Consider the following 25,468-nt stretch of genomic DNA (forward strand, 5'->3'; position numbering starts at 1 on the left):
GTGTCCCTGGGTGTGTGTGTGCATCTCGCTTGTGCCTATGGGAGAAGGATTTGGGGGCTTCCTGCATGTGTGCACCTGTGCATGACTGTACATCAGATGTGCACACACTCAAACCACCACCCCCTTCACCACCTCTGGGCCAGGCTCTGGCTGAGCCTTTCCTGGAAGCAAGTATTTCAGGCCTCACAACCGTATCTGGAAGGCAGGTTCTCTGTTACCCCATTTTACAGATGATCAAATGGAGGCCCAGAGATATGAAGACACTTCAGACCTGTTTTCTCATCTGTGTGCAAAAAAAAAAAAAAAAAAAAAAAAGATATCCAAAACTTGGAAATGGGCAAAATGATGATTATGTGTCTTTTAAAAGTATATATTATGCATTTTCTAGGCATTTCTCCCCCAGCTGTCCTTGGACTCTCCCGGGGATAAAATTCAGTTTGACTACCTCTGATTGGGGCCCCACCCTTTCACAGTCCTGTGAACGTAGAGCAGACTTACAGCAAACTTAAGGGTGGGACCACGTCATTTGTCTGAGAAGATAACCCAACCTCCAGTCCTTACCCTAAGTAATTCTTCATCTGGCTGTTCATTTGTATCCTTTACAACAAAATGGTAATAGTAACATGTTTTCCTGAGTTCTGTGCACTGTTTTAGCAAATTACTGAGCTGGAAAAGGGGGTCATGGGAACCCCCAATTTGTAGCCCTATCACACAGAAGCATGGGTAACCTGGGGACCCTCTACTTGTAACTTGTGTCTGAAGTGCAGGGCAGTCATGTGGAAGTGAGCCCTTAACCTGTGGTGTCTTCACTTACTCTGAAAGTGTCAATTGTTAAAATTGTAGGGCCGGGCGCGGTGGCTCACGCCTGTAATCCCAGCACTCTGGGAGGCTGAGGTGGGCGGATCATGAGGTCAGGAGATCAAGACCATCCTGGCTAACACGGTGAAACCCCGTCTCTACTAAAAATACAAAAAATTAGCCGGGCGTGGTGGCGGGTGCCTGTAGGCCCAGCTACTTGGGAGGCTGAGGCAGAATGGCATGAACCCGGGAGGTGGAGCTTGCAGTGAGCCGAGATCAGGCCACTGCATTCCAGCCTGGGTGACAGAGCGACTGTCTCAAAAAAAAAAAAAAAATTGTAGGACACCCAGTTGGTGTCTGCAGAGAATTGGAGAATCGTGTGAAAAACCGACACATTTGGTATCAAAGGTCTTGTGAAAAGCAGTGTTTCTTTACTACCATTAACAGGTGATGACCCTATTTTCTCCATACTATTATACTGTCCTGGTGTACACAAATAGATTCTGCTGTATGATTTATTGAAGAAAACCACCATCTAGAAATGGACTTTTACTAAAAATTGTTCAAGGATTCTGGGACAATAACCTTCATCTTAACAAGCAAAAAGAGGGACAGAGAGAGATTTCGGATTTTTTAAAATCGGATTTCTAACTTTTTGAAGACCCAGAATATTTGGCATTACTGGAACTGCTTTGCTGCCTACCCAGAATTTGCTACAGCTGAGTTGAGGCTGCCTTCTTTAGGTAGGGGATGCACTCTTCAATTCTCCACCCTCCCTACTCCTTGTCACTCTGTGTAGCCTCATTCGTCTGTCTGACTTTGAGGACACTTGAGTATCTGTGGGCCTACAGGGATGTTTATGAGGATTTGGGGTTTGCTGGTGATCGTTAAGTCTCATTTACTAGCGATTGCTTTTCTCCTGTTTTTATCTGTGGCACGTCAGAAGTCCTGGAACATGAGGATCTGAAGGAAGAGTGATGCTCCCAGTCCAATTATCTTAAATAACTGTCCCACATTCAGAAAACCTCCAGTGGTTTTGAACCTCATTCTAAACTAAATGCAGACTAGCTTCTGTTCTAAGGAGCCTGGGGGCCAGAGACAGCATATGCCTTACAGAGCTCACAGGTGGGCATGGTAAGGAGATGGTGTGTGGCACTTGGGGGATGGCAGAAGTTATCATGTCCCTTTCTTACTACTTACTATTGGGCCTGCTGTTCTTCAGCTTCCTGATAGTTAGCTTGCCTGCTCCTATTAGTGCTTAGAATCTTTTTTTTTTAAGACAGAGTCTCACTCTGTCGCCCAGGCTGGAGTGCAGTGGCATGATCTTGGCTCACTGCAGCCTCCGCCTCCTGGGTTCAAGTGATTCTCCTGCCTCAGCATCCTGAGTAACTGGGACTATAGGCACGCACCACCATGCCTGGCTAATTTTTATATTTTTGGAAGACACGGGGTTTCACCATGTTGGCCAGGATGGTCTCAATCTCCTGACCTCATGATCCGCCCACCTTGGCCTCCCAAAGTGCTGGGATAACAGGCGTGAGCCACTGCGCCCAGCCTATTGCTTAGAATTTTTTAAGGTGTTGAGAGATTCCCTTCCAAAGAGTATCTTGAGGCTTCCAAGATCTTCATCAGAGACCTTGAAAACCACCAATGAGACTGGGAATCCAAGGTAGCCACCTTCCTTCAGGACCTGAAAAGCCATGTGTTTATGCAAGAGTTCCAGTTATTACAAAATAGAAACCCTGTAACATGCTATCTTGTTGACTACATTTTATACTTATATAAAGGGCATCTATAGTAAATGTCATTTTTGACAGCTGCATAGTATCACATGTATGCATATATAACAATGTAATATGCAAAAAAACTTACTAATTTTCACACCTTAGAGTACTGAGATTGAATACCTCTTCTTACTTTAACAGTCATTTTTTAGTATCTGTTTAAAAGCTGCCTGTTAGTGTGTCTAAATTATTTATCTTTAGATATTAATGTTTTAAGAGACAGGGTCTCACTGCCACCCAGGCTGGAGTGCAGTGGTGGTCATAGCTCACTGCAGCCTCGAATTCCTGGAGTCAGGTGATCCTCTTGCCTCAGCCTCCCAAGCAGCAAGGACTGCAGGCACATACCACCACGCCTGGCTTTTATTATTTTTTGTAGCGATGGGATCTTGCTATGTTGCCCATACAGGTCTGGAACTCATGGCCTCACGCAATCTTCCCGTCTCAGCCTCCCAAAGCACTGAGATTACAGGTCTGATCCACCATGCCCAAATACTACACTTTTATATCACAAATTTTACAAAAGTATTTCCCCATTTTGCGCTTTATCTTTTAAACTTTAAAACAAAAACATACAGGAATATTTAGTTTTTGAGTAGTCAATTTATCAGTACATACCCTGTGGATAGTTTCTAGCTTTCATCTAATACTTAGAAAGGTTTTCTCAATTACATGAAAATTAAAAATGTACTCATACCTTTTTCCTTTTTTAAATAAATCTTTATTTTTCATCTTTTCAAAAGTAATACATGCTTGTTGTCAAAAATTAAACAAATAAATTAATGTAGGTAGAGTATCTTTAGTACGGGTTTTCCTATCCAACAACAAGGCTTCTCTCTCTCTCCATTTATTCAAATTTCCTTTGTAAAGTGGCCCTCAGTGAAGACTTAAATTTCTCCATACAAGTCCTCCATAACTGTTTATTTCTAGAAAATCTACTTTTCTTGATGCTGCTGGGAACGAAATCTTTTCATTATATTTTCTAATTCCTGTTGGTACAAAACAAAGCTATTTTTGGATGTTTCTCTTTAACTGGTCATCCTTTCCTGATTTAAACTGAATAGAATAAAAACTGTTTCCATATGAAGACTCTGCCATATTCATGCCCTCTTGGAGGTTTTTCAATGGATGAATCTGATGATACTTGATCCATTTTGGCATTAACCTTAAGAGTTTTCTATATCTTTCTCATTATTAGGATTTTCCTTCACTATGGACACTCTGATGCTGACTGAGCTGGAAGCTAAACCTGAATGCTTTCCCACACACACTACACATATAGGGTTTCTTCCAAGTGTGGACTGTCTGATGTATAATGTAGTCAGAACTAAAGCTGAAGCCTTTGCCACATTCCACACATCTGAAGGGTTTCTCCCCAGTGTGGCTTCTCTGATGCCGAATTAAATGGGCATTAACATGGAAGGCTTTTCCACACTCCTTACACTGAAAGGGTTTCTCTCCTGTATGGATTCTCTGGTGCACAATATAGTTAGAACTACAGCTGAATGCTTTCTCACATTCCATACATTTGAAAGGTTTCTCCCCAGTATGTATCCTCTGATGCCTAGTTAGTTTGGCATTGATACTGAAGGCTTTCCCACATTCCTTACATTGATAGGGCTTTTCTCCAGTATGGATTCGGTGATGATCAAGTAGGTTTCTTTTAGAAGTAAAGCATCTCCCACACTCATTACATTCAAAAGGTTTCTCCCCAGTGTGAATTCTCTGATGCCGCATTAGTTTCCCATTAACGCTGAAGGCCTTTCCACACTCATTACACTCATAGGGCTTCTCCCCAGTGTGAATTCTCAGATGCTGCCGAAATTGGGAGTTACATCTGAAGGCTTTCCCGCATTCATTACACTCATAGGGTTTCTCGCCTGTGTGAATTCTCTGGTGTTGGATTAACTTCCCTTTGACACTGAAGGCTTTTCCACATTCAGTGCATTCATAGGGTTTCTCACCTGTGTGGATTCTCTGATGCTGAATGAGTTTTGTATTATTATTGAAGCCTTTTCCACACTCTTTACACTGATAGGGCTTTTCTCCTGTGTGGATGCTCTGATGCTGCCTAAGCTGGGAGCTGCACCTGAAGCCTTTTCCACATTCATTACATTCATAAGGTTTCTCTCCAGTATGGATTCTCTGATGTTGAATTAATTTTGCATTAACATTGAACGCTTTCCCACAGTCATTACACTCGTAAGGTTTCTCTCCAGTGTGGACTCTCTGATGTGTAATATATGCAGAACTACAGCTGAAGCCATTTCCACATTCCTTGCACTGATAGGGCTTCTCTCCCGTATGGATTCTCTGATGCCTACTTAGGCTTCCATTAACACTGAAGGCCTTCCCACACATCTTACACTGATAGGGCTTCTCCCCACTGTGGATTGTCTGATGTGTGATATAATGGGAACTGTAGCTGAAGCTTTTCCCACACTCCACACATTTGAAGGGTTTCTCCCCACTGTGAAGTCTCTGATGCCAAATTAATTTCTCATTAATGCTGAAAGCTTTGCCACACTCCGAACACTGATAAGGCTTTTCCTCAGTGTTGTTCTCTTGATGTTGAATAAGTTGAGAGTCACACCTAAAGGGCTCTACTAATTCTTCACATTTGAAAGGTCTTTCCTCAGAATTAATTATTTCATGCTTCACGAGTTTTGTATCAAAGCTGATGGATTTCCCCAATCCTGTACACCCAGAGGGCTGCTCTCCAGTGATGGTATGACACTGATATGAGTTTGAACTTTGACTAAAAAAACACTCCTCCACGGGGCTTGTCTCATCTTTCACTGTTCCATCAATGGTGTTGCTCTTCTCCTTCTTTATATTTCCTGCTGAGTGGACTTCCTGTTGTTTCTCTAGAAGAGAGGCTTCTGAAAAGTCTGTTTCCTGGGAAAAGTCTCTTTGAAGTTCAAATGATACATTCTCTTTTCCTTCATACATTTCCTTTGTCAAATCATTGTCAGTCTGAATATCTACTATAAAAAACAGAAAACATAAAATGTCATGTAAGAACCATGTTAGGAAAAAGAAGAGAACTGTGCTATAAAAGACCATAATAATCAGGGGGCTCCTTAAAATCACCAGACTAGGTCAAAAAACATAGGGTTTCTCCATAAGGTGGGATAAGTAATTTGTAACTAACTAGTAAAAGAATACAATAAATCCATATATGCTGACGTAAAAAGACATCCAAGATACAATCAAATGGAAAAACAAGTTGAAAAAACAGTATATAGAATAGATTTTCAGCTGTGTAAAGAAAAATATAAAAGACAGATATATATATTTGTACATACCTAGAAAACTTCTAGAAGAATCCATAAGAAACTAAATAAACTGGCATAGGAAGTTTAGTGGACTTGCTTCCCTACTTTATACACTTTCTGTACTGTTGAATAGGTGTCAATATTATGAAAGTAATGAAAAGCAATGAAAGTAATGATAAAAAAAAAATCACCATTCCCACTGTGCCTAATACAAGGCCACTGTAGAGAACATAACCAATCACATGAAGGTTAAAAGTGACAGCTGGGCACGGTAGCTCACACCTGTAATCCCAACACTTTGGGAGGCTGAAGCAGGCAGATTGCCTGAGCTTGGGAGTTTGCAACCAGCCTGGGCAACACAGTGAAACCCCGTCTCTACTAAACCACAAAAAATTAGCCGGGTGTGGTGGTACGTGCCTGTAGTTCCAGCTACTCGGGAGGATGAGGCAGGAGAATTGCTCGAACCCGGGAAACGGAAGTTGCGGTGAGCCAAGTTCTTGCCACTGCACTCCAGTTTGGGCGACAGAGCGAGACTCCATCTCAAAAAAAAAAAAAAGTGACAGTAGTGGAATAAAATTCTAGGTCTTGTCCACCAGCTCAGCATTCTTTTAATCACACCATGCTTTTCTACACCCTGCAGTTTCTTCTTAGTTGTTCCTATAGCACTCAGTTCCTTACTTAAAAAAAAATGGAAAATGCTGAAGAAGGAAAAGGCACAGGATCCAACAGAATATGGCAACTTGGAAGATGACAACAGTCAGCAGCACCAGGGAGCAAAATGGAAATAATTTTGTTTCTTTCCTTAGAACATTAACTGTGGGCTTTCCAAAATTTGTCCTTCAACTTCATTTCTACTTTAGACAGGCTCTATTTGAGGTCCATCTCATCCCCTTTCTTCCCATTCCCCTCCAAATACTGCTGCATTAACCTTGCCTTTTCCTTTCACTTCTTCCTCTAATCCTAAACTTGATCATTCCCTAAAAATCTTTTTATAATCCCAATAGTCTTTAGAACTAGAACTACTCATCTCTGCATTTGTTCCCAACTTTCTCAAAAGCTCAGTCCCAAAATGCTGCCTCATATTTTTTCATCTTTCATCACTCCTCAACCACATGTAATATGCCCCCTGCCCCAGTATTTCATAATTGCCCTCAATAAGCCCCTCCAATTGCCTGGATTCCCCAGCAAGCACTTTCTAAATAATACTGGTCTCTTCCCAACTAAAAAAATAATACTCATCTGTTGCTATAGACTGAATGTTTGTCCTCCCCACAAATTCATATTCTGAAGTCCTAACCCCTGATGTGATTGTATCAGGAGGTTGAGCTATGGCAGAACCCTCATGAATGGGATTAATGCCCTTAAAAAAGAGCCCAGAGAGCTCCCTTTCTTGCCACCATGTGAGGATACAGTGAGAAGACAGCTGTCTATTAGCCGGGAAGCAGGCCCTTGCCAGACAGAACCTGCCTGAACCTTGATCTTGGACTAGAACTGTATGAAATAAATTTCTGTTGTTTATAAGCCATCCAATCTATGGCAGTCTGTTATTGTAGCCCAAACTGACTAAGACATCTATACTATCAGATGTCTAGTCATCCTCTCCAGAAGTCTATTCCTGCTTTGCTGCACTCTCACCAACATTGAATATAATTTAATTATTCTCAATATGATAGGTGAAATATCTCTCGTTTTCACTTTCCTCTCTTGCAGTGAGGATGGCCATTTGACACAGTTACAGCAAATGAGTCTTAAACAGGTATCACTGACTGGGCTTCTGAAGATTTTTAAAAAGAAAGTCAACACTGCTGCCATGGGCCTCATGCCCTTTGCCCTCCCTTCTGCCTGCCTAGAGCCTGTTTGATTCCTCATCCCAATTAACCCACACACACTGACTACATTAATGTTTCTATCACCAGCTAGGATCATGATGGGTTTCCTGGAAAAGTCAAAGACTTCAGGACAGTCAGCTGTCTACAGAATAAAATACAGGGTCCTTTGATTAAGACCTCACAATATCACTTTTTTCCCTATATTTGTCAAGGCCATTATACGGCAAACTCCATTTCCAAAACATGCCTTCTTTGGTCAGATATCGTCTGATAGAATGATCAAAAGGAATAAAAACCTACAGAAACCATCTAAGAAAAATGAAGACTCACTGAAAAAATTCAAGAGAATCTCACAGACCCTAAATATAAGAAATAACGGGGGGCCTCGGGGGGAATGAGAAGTCATTTGGCAGCTACTCTGCTGGCACCAATTGGAGCCCTGCTCCTTCAAGTGTGGTCTGGTAACCAGAAGTACTGGCATCGCCACATCACCAGGGAACTTCATAGAAATGCAGACTCCACACTTACTGCATATCTGTAAGACCTCAGGATTCCTTTACACATTCACATTTAAGAAGCAAAAATTAAGAGCACTTCCTCCCTTCCACATTACCTTCCCTGTGTACAGCTGTATTCCCCAAAACCAAAATAAAAATACTGAACTGAGCACACATTATAAGCTAGGTATTTGATATGTGTTATCTCATTTAAACCTCAACCCACAAGATAGTACTATTACCTCCTTTTATTATTAACCCATTTTCAGAGATGAGAACACTCAAATAACCTACTCAAAGTCACGCAAATTAGGAAGCAGCACAGTTGGGACTGGACCTCAGAAAAGTCTCCTCTAAAGACTGTGCTTTTAAGCACTTCTATCTGTGTGAAAAGGCTGTTAATTCTGTATCCTCCACACTATGTGAATAATGCTTAGAAATGGCAAGGAACCCCCAAACTACTGAGTCCCTTAATTTTGTCTGAGAAAGGCAGGATTCCAAAATTAGCATTGAAGAGTCAGAATGAAGGGTTTGAAAAAAGATCTGTTCTTGGAATTAGACACAACAAACTTTGAAGACAGAAAGATAAGGACTACCTATCTCTATGAATCATCAAAATTTACTCAAACTTCACTCTGTATGACTGGCCAATAAACACAGTATGTTTATATGTTGCTAAAGCTGGCTTTATGCCTAAAGTGCTAAATTCCAACAGAGTGGGAAATATGTACCTCCCTTACCAGTCTGGAGGCCCTGGAGGCCTGTTCCTGCAGCCAGTGGAGATGAGCCCCCCAGCTCACTTCCTCCCTCCAGTTGTGAGATCACAGCAGGTTTGAGAAGTGGAAATCCTGGTTTGGGAGAGGTAAATAGGAGAGACAGATGAATAAACTCCCACAGACAAATTCCTAAGCCTCTTCTCAGACTGTCTCAGCAATGGGGAGGGAAGGTAAGAACCCCAGGAGGTCCCAAGCCTCAGGACTACGGGAAAGTACTGTGGGGCTTAGGAAGGACTAAAGAGACCTTGGAGACTTCCAAGGGCTTTGGGAGGCAAATGTGGGGGTTGGGGGTGAAGGCTTGGGAACGTGTGGGAGAGCCTGGTTAGGGCCCAGACTGTAGGCCTAGGAGACCTCATGCAGGGCAAGCAGGGAGATTCTGCCCAAAGGGATACCACTTTTTGACCTTGGCCTGAAATAATCCAGAGTACACTGAGATCCTTGAAAAGACTCAAGACAGGTAAGATGAGGGGGCAACTGAAGATGCCACTGTGGAACAGGAAGCAACTGGATTCCAGTGTTTCCAAAACATAGCTTTCATGGGTTGGATCAACAGTGCATACCAGTTCCAAGCAAAGTCCTATATAGGCCTACAAAAGGCTTGGCATTTGCCCCTGCCAGTAACCTCTAAGTCTAGATTAGGAACAGCTCTGGGGTTCTCACTCAGTAAAGGATTACCAGAGATCCCCTCAGTAACCTGTAAGGGAGAAGCAAGCCAGGAACCCCAATTGGCAGATTCCAGGTTCCCAGGGTAGAGAGGTCTTACCCAGGGAGGCCACATTCCCATAATTCTCCAGCATCACATCCCTGTACAGGGTCCTCTGTGCAGGGGACAGGCCATCCCATTCCGCCTGGGTGAAGTACACAGCCACGTCCTCAAAGGTCACCGACTTCTGAAACAATAGGTTCCTGCTGCCCTAGGGCCAATTCCATAGCTCAGGCCCTAAGTGAGGGGCAGAGCGCAGTATAAGGGCTTGGGGAGGGTGCTTGTGAGAGCACAAAATTAGTATTAACAACAAGGGGAAGATCTCAGAAAAAAAATATCGAGAAAGTAAACTACAAAGTATCCACATTCTCCCACAGCAGGGAAACCTCATGCCATTTTTCACACAAATAAGAGGTCACATTAAGACAGGCTGAAAGAAAAAAATTTCCATAAGCAAATTCTCTAAAGCCAACTCCACTCTTTTAGATAAGCTGCTCCCTCCCAGCAAACTCGGGGCTGATCCACCAGCAGGTCCCACACCACTCCCCTGCGCCTAACCTCAGCCCTGTTCTGCTGCCCACCCATCGCCCTCATCCTCACAGCTCAAGCCACCCCCAAAGATCATCCACGGCTTCTGTCTCATCCAGCCCCACCAGATTCCCTTCACAGACCCCCCAACAAGGGGCTGTGCAGCCTCTGCTTGAGCACCTCCAGCCAAGGATGCTCCATGCTGCCCAGGCTGCAGGGTCTTCCTGGAAAGCCAGAATTTTCCTTACCCTCTCCCATTCAAGTCTCATCCTTTCCAACTTCTCCGAAAGCTTCACTGTTTCTCCAAGAACATTTGGGAAAGCAGGGAGACCGGCCTTCCCACTGGCCGGCTACTCTCCCCTTTGCATCACTAAGCTATGTGGTTGGCACAAGCTCCACCACTCAGGGACGCTTCGTGTCACTCCCAGGCCCAACCACCCCTCCTGGGCAGCTGCAGCCTCTGGGAGGCTTACCCTCTGCCCACCTCAGCCTGCTCTAACAACCATGGGGGCTCACTGGCAGGGATCTGCTGCTCAACTCCTCTCTGCTAGGATGTGTCTTCCTGGAATTTACTGACCTCCACCCATCAGCAATTCTAGTCCAACCTTTAGGTGTTTCTGTGAGCCTTCTTTGTGTGACCTTCAACAAGTAACTTCTCTGCACAAAATATAATGTCTTCACTGTGTGCCGCCACCACCACCCTGGTAAGTTGGCACTTCCTTCTGAACTTACACTTCAGCTGGGGTCAGAATCACCCTCACAAGAAACCTCAGCCAGAAACCTGGGGATTGTTCTTGACTTCCCACCTTCCTTATCACCACAAATCCTTTGAGTCTCTATGTCCGAAAGATTTTTTTTTTTCTTTGAGTTGGAGTCTCGCTCTGTCACCCAGGCTGAAGCGCAGTGGCATGACCTCGGCTCACTGCACCCTCTGCCTCCCGGGCTCAAGCAATTCTCCTGCCTCAGCCTCCTGAGTAGCTGGGACTATAGGCATGCACCATAAAACCCAGCTAATTTTTCTATTTTTAGCAGAGACAGGGTTTCACCATGTTGGCTGGGCTGATCTTGAACTCCTGACCTCAAGTGATCCAACCACCTCAGCCTCGCAAAGTGCTGGGATTACAGGTGTGAGCCACCACACCCGGCCATGATTTTTCTATCTTAAGCATTACTTGAATTGGATCCCTCTTTAATGATGGCTTTCCTTGATGAAGCCCATGTCACGGGACCAGTGGGATTCTTCTTTGTGAAGTGGTCACCGTGCTTTTGAATCTTCCTTACAAATTATTCCATACACATCACAAATCTGACCAAGTTAACATCACTGGTTCCACAGCTGTCTTATGGCTAAGCAGTTCTGAATCACACAATAACTCTGTGATCCTGGGCAAGTTACTCTACTCCCCTTTTGCCTTTTCTTTTTAGGTGGAAAGAGTACAACACAGCACTTATCACAGAGGCGGTTGTCAGGACCAAACGACCATACAAAGGGCTTAGTATGGCTCCTGGAGCATAGTAAGCCTCCAAAGATACAACTGGTGTGACTGTGGACTGTTCCCAACCTGTAGTCCATGGAAGTCCATGGATGAGCTTCAGGGGATCCGTGAAGTCCCTGAAAATGTATGGAAAATTTGGTTTGCAGGTTTATGTTCTGCAGGTTCCCCGCACAACACCTCTTTCCTGCAGGACAGGGTGGAAAGCTCTTCTCAGAGACCTAAAGTCTGCATCCTAAACTTTGAAAGCTTCACAAGCACAATGAGACATTCCGTCCCATGTGACTGTCTTCCCCCTCCCTTGACTCCACTCCCTGTGACCTTCCCTTACCCCTGAATTAGAGGCACGGCCATCCTTCTCTGATCAGGTCCTGCTATTCCTCTTCTCTACATCCCCACCACAGATAGTCCAATCCTCTGCGACTGTGCTCCACTGACACCCCTGCACAGTACATCCCACAGGGGCGGTTTCCACGTCCCCATTCACCCAGAGCCCTATGCTGGGGGTGCTCCTGTAGAGAGGAGCAGAGACCCTCAGTGTGCAGAAGACCACCACCCTCCTGCTCTCCTGCTCACTCTCCCGCTTCCTCCACTCGCTACTGTCCTGGTCTCTGCCGCCCTCCCTGCACAACACCTCTTTCCCACAAGTTCCAGTCCAGCAGGTGGAAGCAGCTGTCATCCCGAGGCTCACCAGCTCCCCTTCTCAATGTTTTTCAATCTGAAACTGCCCAGAGGAAGAGCTGAAGGACCCCACAGCTCACCTGGGGCCAGGCTGTCAGGTGCATGGCTGCCATCCCCTGGTCCCCGTCTCAGAGAAGGGCTGGAGCTAAGGAGAAACACAAAGAGAGACAAGTGTGAGGCAAGCCACCCCAACCAGAGCAACATAGCCCCTCACAGAAAATGCAAGACACAGGCAGCTTGCATCCAAATAGGAGTGCGAACAGGAGCTGCCCAAGAAGGGAATGATCTGTTCACTGGCTCAGTGCCTAGGACTCCAGGCTATGACACTGAAATTCACTGCCAGGAACCCTAGGACTTTACAATTCTGATACATATCACACACACTGAAGAGTATATATATAAAATTTAAAAATAAACAAATAAAAATTAAAAATAAAAAGAAGAAGAAGAGTGCATATAAAACCTGCTGGGCACGGTGGCTCGTGCCTATAATCCCAACAGTTTGAGAGGCCAAGGCGGGTGGATCACTTGAGCTCAGGAGTTCGAGACCAGCCTGGACACATGGCAAAACCCTGTCTCTATAAAAAATACAAAAATTAGGCTGGGCGCGGTGGCTCAAGCCTGTAATCCCAGCACTTTGGGAGGCCAGGGCGGGTGGATCACAAGGTCAGGAGATCAAGACCATCCTGGCTAACACGGTGAAACCCCGTCTCTACTAAAAATATAAAAATTAGCCGGGCGTGCTGGCGGGCGCCTGTAGTCCCAGCTACTCGGGTGGCAGAGGCAGGAGAATGGTGTGAACCCGGGAGGCAGAGCTTGCAGTGAGCCAAGATTGCGCCACTGCACTCCAGCCTGGGCAACAGAGCAAGACTCCGTCTCAAAAAAAAAAAAATTAGCCAGAGGTGGTGACACATGCCTGTGGTCCCAGCTATTCGGGAGTCTGAGGTAGGAGGATCACTTGAGCCCGGGAGGTCAAGGCTGCAGTGAGCCAGTATCACACCACTGCACTCCAGCCTGGGTGATGAGAGTGAGACGCTATCTCAAAAAAATAAAAAATAAAAATAAAATAAAATGTATGCAGAGCCTAAAAAATAAAGCAAAGAGTCATGTATCCACAATTCATTTCAAGAAATAGGACAATACCAAGATCTTTGACTTATTTCTCTTTCTCAACACAAGCATTATCTTCAGTATCACAGCAGGAGAAGCTGGACTGGCTGGGCTGCAGCCCCAGTACACAAGCCTGGGGAGTCAGACCCCAGGGAGGCAGCGCCTGGAGAAGGCAGCTGCCCCCCAGTATCCTGCCCCACTTCCTCAGAGCTCTGAATGTCCTCAAGAATCCTAACACCTCTGGAGAGGTCTTGAGAGGTCAGTCCTCCTAAGGACAGCACAGGCTGTCCTTAGGAAGCTGAGCTGGAAGTTAGGAACCAGGCTGTTTCCCAAACTTTCCAGTCTTCTGATAGTGAATGAGCCAAGGCCTACACTTCTGCGTCAGCTCCTGAGAGAGGAGATCACTGTAGCAGCCAGTCCCGTGACCCAGAGCCTCTTGTTCACTGTATTCAAAAACATATGGACTAGTGATTTTCTGACTTTTACTGCCCCTAAAGTCAGTCTTGAAATTACATTTTCCTAAAATATCATCCATTTCTTCCAGGATTTCAACTTTACTAGTACAGAGTTGCAGAAAATACTGGTTCATGATTCTTTCCATTTCCTCCATATCCAGAGCTAGTTTGCTTTTCCCACTTCTTCTTTTGAATATATGTGCTTTCTAGACCTTTTTCCCAGGGTTAGAGTTAGAGACTAAACATTTATGCCCCTGCCAAATTCATATGTTGAAGCTCTAGCCTCCAATGTGACTGTATATGGAGACGGGGCCTGTCAGGAGGTTACAAGGATAAATGAGGTCCTAAGGGTGGGACTAAAGGTCCTAAGGTTAAATGAGGTCCAATAGGGGTGATGCCTTTACAAGAAGAAGGAGAGACCCAGAGCCCACGAAACCACTCACTCCCCGCCTCCCCCATGTGAGGACACAACGAGAGGGCTACTATCTATAAGCCAGGAAGGCAACCCTGGCAGGAGCCAAAATCAGCTGGCACCTTGATCCTGGACTTCCAGTCTCCAGGACTGTGAGAAATAAGTATGTTGGTGAAGCCACCCAGTCTATGGTATTTTGTTATGGCAGCCCAAGCAGACTAATACAGTTAGGCTGAGCAGTGTTTTACTTATTTTAATGTGGTTTCCTTTTATTTTCAAAGAACCAGCTTTTCTAGTTGAGCAACACTACTTTCTTCTATTTGTTTTAAATTCACTAATTCTGCTCTTAGTTTGTTCCTTCAGCTCTGTAAGGGGCAGTGTAAGCACCACTCCAATCCTCTTATCCCATCCTCAGTCCAGTTCTACAGAGGTTAGTCAGCTTTGTGAAGCTGCAAGCTACCAGAACCTTCACAAGGACCTACATCACCTATGCCTGGTTCCTGCCCTGGGGCTTCTCTGGTGTCCTATGTGGGACACCTGTGGACACCTGCTGGGCCCTGAAGTGCAGAGGCATTAACACCTGTGGGACCCCCTTGACCAATAGGGGAGAGAAACCAATGGATAAATGTTTTCCCCGTCGATCCCCCAGCGGGGCAGCCTTAAGACTCCAAGGCTCCTCAAACGCCCTGCAAGGCAGAGCCTGTTGAGGGCCGAGCATACCAATGCATCCTTGTACCAGTTCTCCCATCTCTGTTTCACTCCCCTTGTCTTTCACTCTGCCCCTGTGACCATATTCCTAAATAAATTCCTACATACAAATCTTTGTTCCACGTTCTGCTTTTGGGGAAGCTTAGACTACAAAAGGCTTTTTTCCCACCTTCTTGAGGTTGCATGACTTATTCATTTATTTTCATTCTTCCTATTTGGCAATTAAAGCCTATAAGGCCACAAATTTTCCTTGGGATACACTATTTGCCACATTCCAGAGGTTTTTATATTTCATGTTTTAATTACTGTTTTATAGTCAGTCAGCAATTCTGTTTTGTCTCTGACCTAGTAATTGCTTAGGATAGTTTACTGTTGCTAATTTCTTCTGTTTATAAGTTCTGGCTTTATTGCATGATGGTTATATAACCCAATCTACTAACTTCTACTTTACACATTTTTCAGGGTTTTTTTGTGACTCATGTCCATTTAAAAAAATATATTATCTGGTGTTTAAAGAGAAAACTTATTCTGTGATGGGAGAATATACAACTCCATTTTTAGATAATAAACCAACTCTACCAATTACATATGTAGTGTGATAGCTACCCCGCTCAGCTAGTCAAGGGTGTATACCTGCTGCCTGAACCTTGAAGACCGGGCAGTGAGTCAAGACCATGGGGCTCAGCAGAGGAGCAGGTGTTTGCAAGAACGTAAACATCCTAGAAAGTATATGAGAACCTACCAAGAAAAGTCTCATCGTTTAAATGCAGTAGGCAAACAGCCAGAAAATTCTCTAAAAAGTACTTAGAGACGAGGGGCATCACAGGTCTCTAAAGCTGTCCTGCTGCCATCCAGGAGTAAGTATGTAAGTCCTAATAAACTCATCTACTTGCCAAGCTGGACTCGTCCAAGGCATTCTTTGGTCTCTTGGCTCCCTCCCAAGGGGATAGTTTTTTTTTTTAAATACGATTCCAGGTTTTTTCCTGTTATGACATTATATAGATTTTCTACATAATCCTTGATTACTTTTACCTAATTAAACCAAGATGGCCAGTGAAGAACTAACTCTCACAAAACACTGAGCTCAGATGTGTCATGAGCAAATTCTTTCAATGTTTCGGAAATGAGTAATTCTAACACTATGTAAACCGTAGCAGAGCACAGCAAAGTAAGTTTCCCAATTCTTTTTATGGTGCCAGCACAATACTGATGCAAAAACTACAGACCAGTCTCATTTATGAATTCTAATGCAAAAATTCTATCAAGGAATAGACTCCAATAGTTCATTAAATACATCATGAGTAAGTAGGATTATCCCACGAAGATACTAATTAGTATATTTTTCACATTAATAAATCAAAGAAAGATAAACACACTGTCCATCTCAACAGATGCCAAAGATGTTTAACATAATTCAACATTTGTGCCTAATTTTAAAAACTTACACACTAGAGAAACTCTCATATGTAGGAAGTACGTACAAAAATATTATCAGCACATTTTAATAACAAAACACTGAAAACAACCCACATGTCCATTGAAAATACATCGATAAATTTTCATACAGTTTTTACAATGGAACATTACCCAGAAGCTACACACAGAATGAATTTGGAAACTTAACATTGAATTATGCGAGTCCCAGATGACTTATACACACAATGGTGCCATTTATATGAAGCTCAAAAAAAAAATTTAAGTACATTGCTTACAGATACATGCATATGTAATTATTTTTTAAAATAACAGGGCTACAATTAACACAAAAGTCAATATAACTGTTACCTCTAGGGGTTGGAGGCTGGGAGTTGGGTTGAGGAGGAGGAACACATTGATAAATTCAGCAGTACTGGCAATCTTCTCTTTCTTAATTGGGTGGTGTGTTCATGGATGTTTACTACTATATATGTAACATATAAATATATATTTTAAATAAATATATAAACCAGCAAGGATGGGGTGAAATTGAGGACCCAAAATGTAATACAAAGAACAGCCAATGTGCTTAACTATACTACAGTGAACATAACCACACTTAAGTGGTAGGAAAGAAAAGGGGTAAGCAACTTTGGAAAACAGTATTTTGACTAAATACCATAAGAGTAAAGACAAAAAGACCTGTATCCAAGTACTGTACTTTAGGTAGTAAATTTGCTTTTCATGGGGGTATGAATTAGCGATTCTGAGACTACTAAATATATTCTAAAACTGAGTGAATTCGTAATTACGTTGTAGAAGTCATTCCCAGGTCACTGTCAACCCTGAGCCGAGAGAAGCAGGGCTGAGTTACCTTTTGGGACTGACACTGCTCCAGGAGACAATGTCCTCCAAAAGCCGGGCTGCTTCTGCTGCCGGGTGACTGGGAGGGGCTCTGCGCTCCCACTCGGCCCTAATTCATGACCCTATGTCAGGAGCCTGGGAGCACACGGTCCATACTCGGGATGCACATAGGTTAATGTTCCTGCCAGACCTCAGCATGTCAAAAGACTTGTGGTATCACCTCGGGCCGCTTCACGCCCGCAAATATTCCATCTTTTAGCTGCACCGACACATCTTCCCCCGTCGACCAAGTGCTAAATGCTCAGGGCCTCGTGGCTGGGACAGCAACGTGCGTTTCCCCTTCCAATGGGCGCAAGCTATTGAGCCACAAAGACCAAAGCTGGAGTCGAGGAGCGCGGAAGAGCACCCCGGGCCGCCGCCCTGCTCCCTCTCCCAGCCTGGGCCTCCTGGCAGCGTAGGCCACGGGAGACCCTGCAGCACCCAGGGTGGGAGTGCGTCTCAACCGGACCCAGAGCCTGGGGGACAGGGCACGGCACACAGCGCCCGGAGCCCTGCACTCACCTCCGTAGCGGACTGCTCCCCGGCGCTGCCGGAAGTGCGTCACCAGGCGGCCGGGCCTCTCTAGGAGCAAGGTCGCTGCGCCTCGGTGGTGGTCACGCCCGGCCAGCTGTGGCCGCATCCCTGTCGGCTAGCTCGGGTCTGGCCCACGGTGACTGTTACCCCTGGGGAATGGGGCAGGTAAGAATCAGAGCCAAGCGGGGACCCAGCCCGGGGAGGTGAAGCTGCAGGTGCAGCCACGTGTGGGAGTCTTGGAAATGGACCAGTGGATGGCGCGCTGTCACACCCAATGCCCCCTTTTTCTAACAAATAGTTTGTAATGTCCATCTTATTCTCCTGACCTGATATTCATATATAATGGCCTAGAAAATCATACATAACATACACACCTACATATTAAAAACTAATGTTATGCCTTAAGTGTAATGAAAGAGAAAAAAAAGAGGACCGTCATCTGTCGTTTAAAAACACATACTTCAATGTGTTTGGTCTTGGCTGCTGCAGGAGACCTAATAAGGTGGTCGCCTTTACACATAGACGTTGTCTGAGTGCCACAGCCACAAAGCTGTGACTTACATTGTTGCAAAAGTCACAAAATTATGATCCAAAATGGCAAACATGTTTTCGTGAAGTTCTGAATGAAACACAGGACAATCGTCTCTTGATTATACAATAATTACATTCCTGGAAGATCAGTGTATGTTAAAACTGTGCAAAAATACATGTTTATCCAGAAAACAGGTTTAGATTCAGATAATTTAGAAATAGAATTTTCACCTACCTGAATGTTCAGCAAGACATTTGAAAGTGTGAACATTTTTTCAGTGGGCAGGACTGTCCTGTACATTGCAGGATCCTGGCTCCTATCCACAACGCTAGTAGCAATGTTACCACTGACACCAAATATAACAAAATACCTACCATAAAATTCCAAAATGAGCCCTGGGGGAAGGGAGACAGTACTAAATGCCACTGGATTGGACGACCCTTAAAATCCCCACCCCCTCACACACCCCCTAACCCTGGTAATGTGGGCTTTTCTTCCTTCCAGCTCTGATCCATCCAACGCTGCTGCACTGGAGACTGGTATTTGGCTCCCACTTGCCTCTGTGGCTTCTTATCACTCCCATTCATTCCCTGACTCTACCTCAGCCCTACATGCTAAAAATGCTGTTCTCTAAATCTAGAATGCCCTTCCCTTCCCATTCCTACCCTCCATCTTGACTGTTACTGGAAGTGTGAGCTCAAATCCCATTTTGCATGGGAAGCAAGCCTTCCCTCATCACCCAGAATAAGGCAGGACACTCATTTATGTGCCATCACAGCACTGTGTACTTACTTAATGGTGATAGTTTATTTATATGTCTGTCTTCTCTGGTGGCTGCAGGGAACAGACACTGTATCTATCTTGTTCAACATCATCATCCTCAGCTAGAGAATAACTGGCAGAAAGAAGGAGAGCAATAAACATTTGTTGTTGACAATGGTCCAAAGGCTCCAGCCCTAACTCTTAGGCAGAAGCCTACTTTGTGTGTCCCCAAGGGTAGGATATGTCTTATGCCTTGGACCTTGACAGTGACCATGGCCAGGTGCCCTTCTCTGCCTTGCCCTGACCCTGATCTTCACTGTTTTCCAAAATGAGTTCATTAAGAAAATGATTGGGCAGAGTAATAGCTGGGGATTACGTTGCTCTTGTCAATAAGTTCTGGTTTTCACTTCTTTCTAGGGTCAGAAATCAGGAGTGAGGACTTGTTGAAAGAAATAGGAAGGAATCAGATCACATAAATGCTGGCCCCAAATGTTTGCATCATAAACCCATTGCCTAATTTTACAGTTGAGAAAATAAAGCTCTCTAAATAACCACAAAGCTCCTACTCCTACTTCAGACATATCAGAAAAATGAGATAATAATGCACAAACCAAGTTTCAAAAGCTCTATGGTAGGTCTGGAGAGATGGAGATCAGTTCTTGTCTGTCAGCCCCTGTTCTTCCATTCTTATAAGGTTACAGAATCTCTAGCAAGGGACATGACAGCTCAGGGAAAAAGCACACATTTCCCAGCATTCTTTAAGGCAAAGTGTGTCCATGTGACCAACTTCTGGCAAACAGGCTGTAAGAAAATGTGATGCTGTGTCCTTAAAGACAAGGGACATGCCCTCCCTGCCCCCAAACCTTCATCGACCAGGTGGAATGTTGACAAGGGAGAGCATCAGAGCATCTTGGACCATGTGAATAAGGGTGTGGCTGCTGGGGATGACAGAGCAACTAAAAGGAGGAGGCACAGAGCTGCTATATCAGCCCCAGATGGCTTACTTTCTGATGATACATGAGAGAGAAATAAACTTTCATCAAATTTAAACCACATTTATTTGGGTTCTTCAAATTAATTTCCAAGCCCATAGCCTAACTAATACCCCTAGAAATGAGGAAGGATGGAAAAATCACACAACACAAGAGTTAAAAAATTAAGCTGGCTCTTCGACTACAGCATTCTAGAAGTTCATTTCCATGCTGGGCCTGCAGCCATGTAGTGTCAGTTTCCTCCTGCTCAGCTCTAAGGCTTCTTCTCCTGCACCCTTTGTCCCTGCAGCCCCAAGACCTCTCTAAAGCCCTTCCTCTCTGACCACCAGGGAAAGCTGACAATCTTCTCATGTTAAAAAAAATCTTTTTTGTTGGCCAGGCGTGGTGGCTCACACCTGGAATCCCAGCACTTTGGCAGGCTGAGGTGGGGGGAGTTACCTGAGGTTGGGAGTTCGAGACCAGCCTGACTAACGTGGAGAAACTCTGTCTCTACTAAAAATACAAAATTAGCCAGGCGTGGTGGCGCATGCCTGTATTCCCAGCTACTCGGGAGGCTGAGGCCAGAGAATCGCCTGAACCCAGGAGGCGGAAGTTGTGGTGGGCTGAGATAGCGCCATTGCACTCCAGCCTGGGCGACAAGAGCGAAACTCCGTCTCAAAAAAGAAAAAATATTTCTTGTTGTTTCCAGTTTTAATAGGACAGAGTAAAGATGGCTTTGCCTGCTTCTTCTCATGAAAACTGTGGCAAAACAACTGTCTGGTTGATGTTCATTCCAGGAGTTCAAGGCTGTTTTCAGGCTACAAAATTTTTACCTACTTATTGATGTTGTGAGTTCTGTGAATAAATCATTTAATCTATGTGGAGAAATGTACTAGGGTAGGGCAAGGTCTTATTCTCAAAGCAACCAAACATATATAGGAATAAGTTTACTAATAAATGTATAAGACATATATCAAGAAAATTTTAAACATTTGGGGACTAAACCAATGAAAACCCCTTGTGTAAATGGAAAGGCACAGGTAATCCTTCAGTAGGAAGGGTAGTTTTCTTTATTTAATCCATAAGTCCAACGTCATACCAAATAAAACCCCTATAGGATTTGTTTTAAAACTTGTGAAAATGATTCTAAAATTTACGCAGAAAAAATGTTAGAAGTGACTGGACAGTGCCTCATGCCTATAATCCCAGCACTTTGAGAGGCCAACGTGGACAGATCACCTGAGCTCAGGAGTTCAAGACCAGCCTGGCCAACATGGTGAAACCTTGTCTTTACTAAAAATACAAAAATTAGCCCAGCGTGGTGGCGCACACCTGTAATCCCAGCTACTGGGGAAGCTGGGGCAGGAGAATTGCTTGAACCCGAGAGGCGGAGGTTGTAGTGAGCCAAGATCATGCCACTGCACTCCAGCCTGGGTGACAGAATGAGACTCCGTCAAAAAAAAAAAGAGAGAGAGAAGGAGAGAGAAAGAAAGAAAGAGAGAGAGAAAGAGAAAGAAAGAGAAAGAAAGGAAGGAAGGAAGGAAAGAAAATGTTAGATGCTTATAAGGTACTACTGAAACTTAAGAAAGCACAAGTATTGAAAGTCAAAGAATGGAAAATAGATATATCAGACAAGTATTAAGGGAAAGGGAAAATGGCACAGCTATATTAATATCTCACAACAATAAGTTTAAGACAATAAATATTACGCAGAATTCAGTTGAGGGCAATGTAGCAAATAATATAAACTAGAATCTAGAAATTTAGAATAAGATATAATATTCGACATCATTTTAAATACTTAACTCACAGGAAAGTGTACCCACGTACCAAAACCAAACAAGAAACTAAAACCAGAGGCATTGGTTTGGACTGAGGACCTCAGCTGATGCTTTGGCCAACAGGGGTGGGAATGGTGAAGAGTTGTAAGTCTTGATATCTGAGAAAGCAGAATTATAATATGCAGGAGGCATATTACAGGAACAAGGAATAGGAACAGAGACTTTTCTCACACACATACACTCATCCAATCATGAAAGGATAAATTTTTTAAAAATCTCATGAACAAAGAGAGATAACAAAGAATCTTATGGTCCTTGCCTAAGCTTTGAAGTGGTAGTAGAAATGTCTTCTAAAAATTTATAATCATAGTTTGCATCATTAAGTATAGAGTTTAAATTAATACTATCTACTTGGACCAGTAATTCATAATCCAAGAAATTACATTAAAAACTAATCCTGATAGACTTCTGAAATAGTCACAACAGAATTAGTAGGCAATGACATTTAAAAGTTATTACAACCATATCTGATACATCTAAAAGTTTGGTGGAGAAATGAAACATATAAAAAAGACCCAAATCAAACTTCTAAAGATAAAAACCTATAATGTGCAATAAAAATACATTGGATGGGATTAACGGCAGATTAGACATTACAGAAAAAAGATGAGTGAATTTGAAGACATAGCAACAGAAACTATTCAAAAACAAACACAGAGAAAAGAAAATTAAAAATAAATGTACAGGACTGAGAAGTCCTGATTTCTTCACCTACTAGCTATGAGACCTTGGACAACCACTTAGCTTTTCTGAAATTCCAATGATTCATCTGAAAAATGAGATAATAGTTCACAGTTGTTGTAAATACTACACATAATGTTTTGCTTAAAGTACATACAACAGGGACCAGGATTCAGTAGTTGCTCAATTAATGTTAACTTTTCCCCTCCTCTAAATTATTTGTGGACCTGATTACACTTTTTTATTTGTCAGTAATGAAGTTAGTAATGCATAAGTTTGTAAATATGACATATTATAAGTAGGAGAAAGACCTACAGTGCCAAACTCCTTCAAAGTTTTTTGTGCATAACCTCACAGAAACATGCTAACAACAATCAAGTTCGGAAGATTTTTACCACAGAGAAAGCAGATCCAATCCATTGTATGTTTCTGAAAATAGGTTAACAGGTGGGGGTTAGCACGTGAGGAGAGGGCATGAAAAAGAATCAAGCAGCCTGTCTCCAAATGAATACAACATACCTTCTTTCTCACATGTATTGCCTGATAATTTGCTTATATGTGCCTAGGAAGAGCCCTGAGCATTCTTCCTTACATAGTATGACCAGGTATTACACATTTTCCCCTAACTTGAAGGACGTTGGCCTCTGGCATAACACAATGATACTAGGTACCAATCCCATAGACCTCCCAAGGGAATCGGTCCAATTATCAGCTCTGATGCTGAAGTTTCTAGAAGGAAGAGAAAGAATCTCAACCCCCACCGTGTCATAAAGAACCTTGTAAAAGACTGCTGATTTTAGAGGATTACAATTGCCAGGTACACCGGAGTGGAAAGCCCCAAGAAATTAACAGTGACCACTACAACCTGTGTTTAGTGTCATCCAGGTACAAAGGACAGCAGTAGAAAACAGAGAAGCCGTGGTGCTGTCCAAGGTGCTAGCTCCGACTCAGTGGGGGGGGGGGGGGGGGTGTGTCTGTGGCGCTCTCCAAGGTTCTGGGGCTGGCCTCAGAACCATTGTCCTCCAACCTGGTGTGTTGGTCCCCTCTGACTATATATGTGTGTGTGTTTTTGAGGAGTCTCACTCTTGTCACCCAGTCTGGAGTGCAGTGGCACGATCTCAGTTCACTGCAACCTCCACCTCCCGGGTTCAAGCGATTCTCTGGCCTCAGCCTCCCGAGTAACTGGGATTACAGGCGCCCACCACTACACCTGGCTGATTTTTGTATATTTAGTAGAGATGGGGTTTCACCATATCGACCAGGCTGGTCTCGAACTCCTGACCTCAGGTGATCCACCTGCCTTGGCCTCCCAAAGTGCTGAGATTACAGGCATTAGCCACCATGCCCAGCCTCCCTCTGGCTATATTTTAAGCCTGATATCCAAATACTTAATCTCACCCTATTCCTTTCTTTGAATTCATTTGGTCAGAACCTGACACGTATCACCCAGTGCCCCAGTTCCTACTTGTCTTCTCTATCACTCTGCCTCAAAATCCAGAGATTCCAAGGATGATAATTTATTGTGGGCCCAAATGGCTAAGAGAGGCTCTTCTGGGAAGCTTTCTTACATCATATAAATTTTTGTTAACATGAATTATTTGTATTTGAAAGATTTAAAAGACAAGGAAGCTATGTATTGTTCTTGTTGTTAACAATAAATTACCTCAACACTATTTGAACATAATAAAAATGTAATAAAACCTGAAACTTCGTGTGTTCCAATTGCTTTATTCAACTAACTTACACTCCTTTCCTGGTGAGTTACCTTGCATTCAGGTGTTCTGAGCCATGAAAACATTTTTCTTTCTTTTCTCTTTTTTGTAGAGATGGGGTCTCGCTATGCTGCGTTGGCTGGTTTGGAACTCCTGGCCTCAAGGGATCCAACCATTTTAGTCTCCCAAAGTGCTAGGATTATAGACATGTGCCATGATGCCTGGCCCAAAGACATCTTTAATCTGAATTGCACTTCATTAACTATTAGACACATTTATGTTTATTATGTAATGCTTTCTTCACATCCATACTGAAGAAGATCCAGTAGGTATTATATCTATTTTATAGATGAAGAAAAACAAAGCTTACATGTTACAGTCTTTGTAGAACATAGACTGTAGTGGGGGACACAACTTTTAAGTAAATCCACACCTGGATAAATATATTATTGTAAACTTTCATTCGTGTGAGGGAGGTAAAGAGCAAGGTGTTTAGGAGATAATATCAAGGGAATACCATTTTAACTTGGAGGTAAGGAAAGGCCTGAGGAAGTGATCTTGATCTTGGGCTGAGACCTGAAAGATAAGAATGAACTATCTGGGCACATAATCAAGGAGACAGCATTCCAGGCAGGAGGAATAGCATGTGTAGGCCCTTCAGTGGAAAAAAAAAAAAAAAAAAAGCTTGACACATCATGGGGAGAGAGGAGGGAGGAAGTGCTGCGCCATGAAGTCATTAGAGCTTTGCAGGCCATGTTAAAGAGTTTGGATTTTATTCCAAGGTCAATGGAAACCCATTGAAATGTTTTAAGAAAAGCATGTTATGTTCCATATTTTTAAAAGCACACCTGGCTGCTGACTGGCAGATAGATTAGAAGGATTCAAGAGCAGAAGTGGGGAGACTACTTAAGGAGCAATTGTGGTAGTCTAGGAAAGAAATGTTGGTGGCTCAGAACAAGGCAGTAGCACCAGGAACTGGAGAGAAGCTCCATGTTGCTCATCAGTAACATGTTCTGTCATCATGTGCTATCATCTAGCATGTTGCTTAGCACACAGAAGTCACTAAA

General features: G+C 43.5%; 1 protein-coding gene and 1 long non-coding RNA gene across 23 annotated transcripts, besides 2 other annotated features; one reads left to right on the forward strand and one right to left on the reverse strand.

The window, feature by feature from the left end:
• Positions 1-3,277: 3,277 nt before the first annotated feature.
• On the reverse strand, positions 3,278-17,928 carry ZNF23 (zinc finger protein 23). Of its 22 annotated transcripts, NM_001381969.1 has the most exons (8): positions 17,340-17,928; positions 16,835-16,850; positions 12,445-12,509; positions 11,753-11,802; positions 9,723-9,899; positions 8,924-9,031; positions 6,275-6,396; positions 3,278-5,566 (listed from the first exon to the last, which is right to left on the reverse strand). In NM_001381969.1, the coding sequence occupies exon 8, from the start codon at positions 5,529-5,531 to the stop codon at positions 3,774-3,776; it is 1,758 nt and encodes a 585-aa protein (NP_001368898.1). In that variant the 5' UTR covers positions 5,532-5,566; positions 6,275-6,396; positions 8,924-9,031; positions 9,723-9,899; positions 11,753-11,802; positions 12,445-12,509; positions 16,835-16,850; positions 17,340-17,928; the 3' UTR covers positions 3,278-3,773. The 22 variants fall into 22 exon arrangements, with proteins under 22 accessions (NP_001368898.1, NP_001291422.1, NP_001368897.1 ...); NM_001304493.2 differs by lacking the exon at positions 16,835-16,850 and having other exon boundaries at positions 9,723-9,849; positions 17,891-17,928; NM_001381968.1 differs by lacking the exon at positions 16,835-16,850 and having other exon boundaries at positions 9,723-9,846.
• Positions 17,527-17,616: an enhancer, noted in NCBI's record as "active region_11073". NCBI's record gives its function as "activates an Ori minimal core promoter by ATAC-STARR-seq in GM12878 lymphoblastoid cells {active_cell/tissue: GM12878}" and the evidence as "EXISTENCE:reporter gene assay evidence [ECO:0000049][PMID:35858748]".
• Positions 17,887-18,046: an enhancer, noted in NCBI's record as "active region_11074". NCBI's record gives its function as "activates an Ori minimal core promoter by ATAC-STARR-seq in GM12878 lymphoblastoid cells {active_cell/tissue: GM12878}" and the evidence as "EXISTENCE:reporter gene assay evidence [ECO:0000049][PMID:35858748]".
• Positions 17,993-24,396, forward strand: LOC124903709 (uncharacterized). The gene is made up of 2 exons (XR_007065105.1): positions 17,993-18,973; positions 19,614-24,396. It is a non-coding gene; the product is annotated as an uncharacterized LOC124903709 (long non-coding RNA).
• The last annotated feature ends 1,072 nt before the right edge of the window (positions 24,397-25,468 follow it).

The sequence above is a fragment of the Homo sapiens genome, chromosome 16, assembly GCF_000001405.40.
Source record: "Homo sapiens chromosome 16, GRCh38.p14 Primary Assembly".
NCBI lineage: Eukaryota > Metazoa > Chordata > Mammalia > Primates > Hominidae > Homo > Homo sapiens.

Coding starts and splice junctions, on each gene's coding strand:
- ZNF23 (NM_001381984.1), bottom strand. CDS start 12,477: ATGGCAGCCATGCACCTGACAGCCTGGCCCCAG. Junction 9,850..12,444: donor ACCTGACAGCCTGGCCCCAG/GTGAGCTGTGGG, acceptor CTATTGTTTCAG/AAGTCGGTGACCTTTGAGGA. Junction 9,032..9,722: donor TGGGAATGTGGCCTCCCTGG/GTAAGACCTCTC, acceptor CTCCCAAACCAG/GATTTCCACTTCTCAAACCT.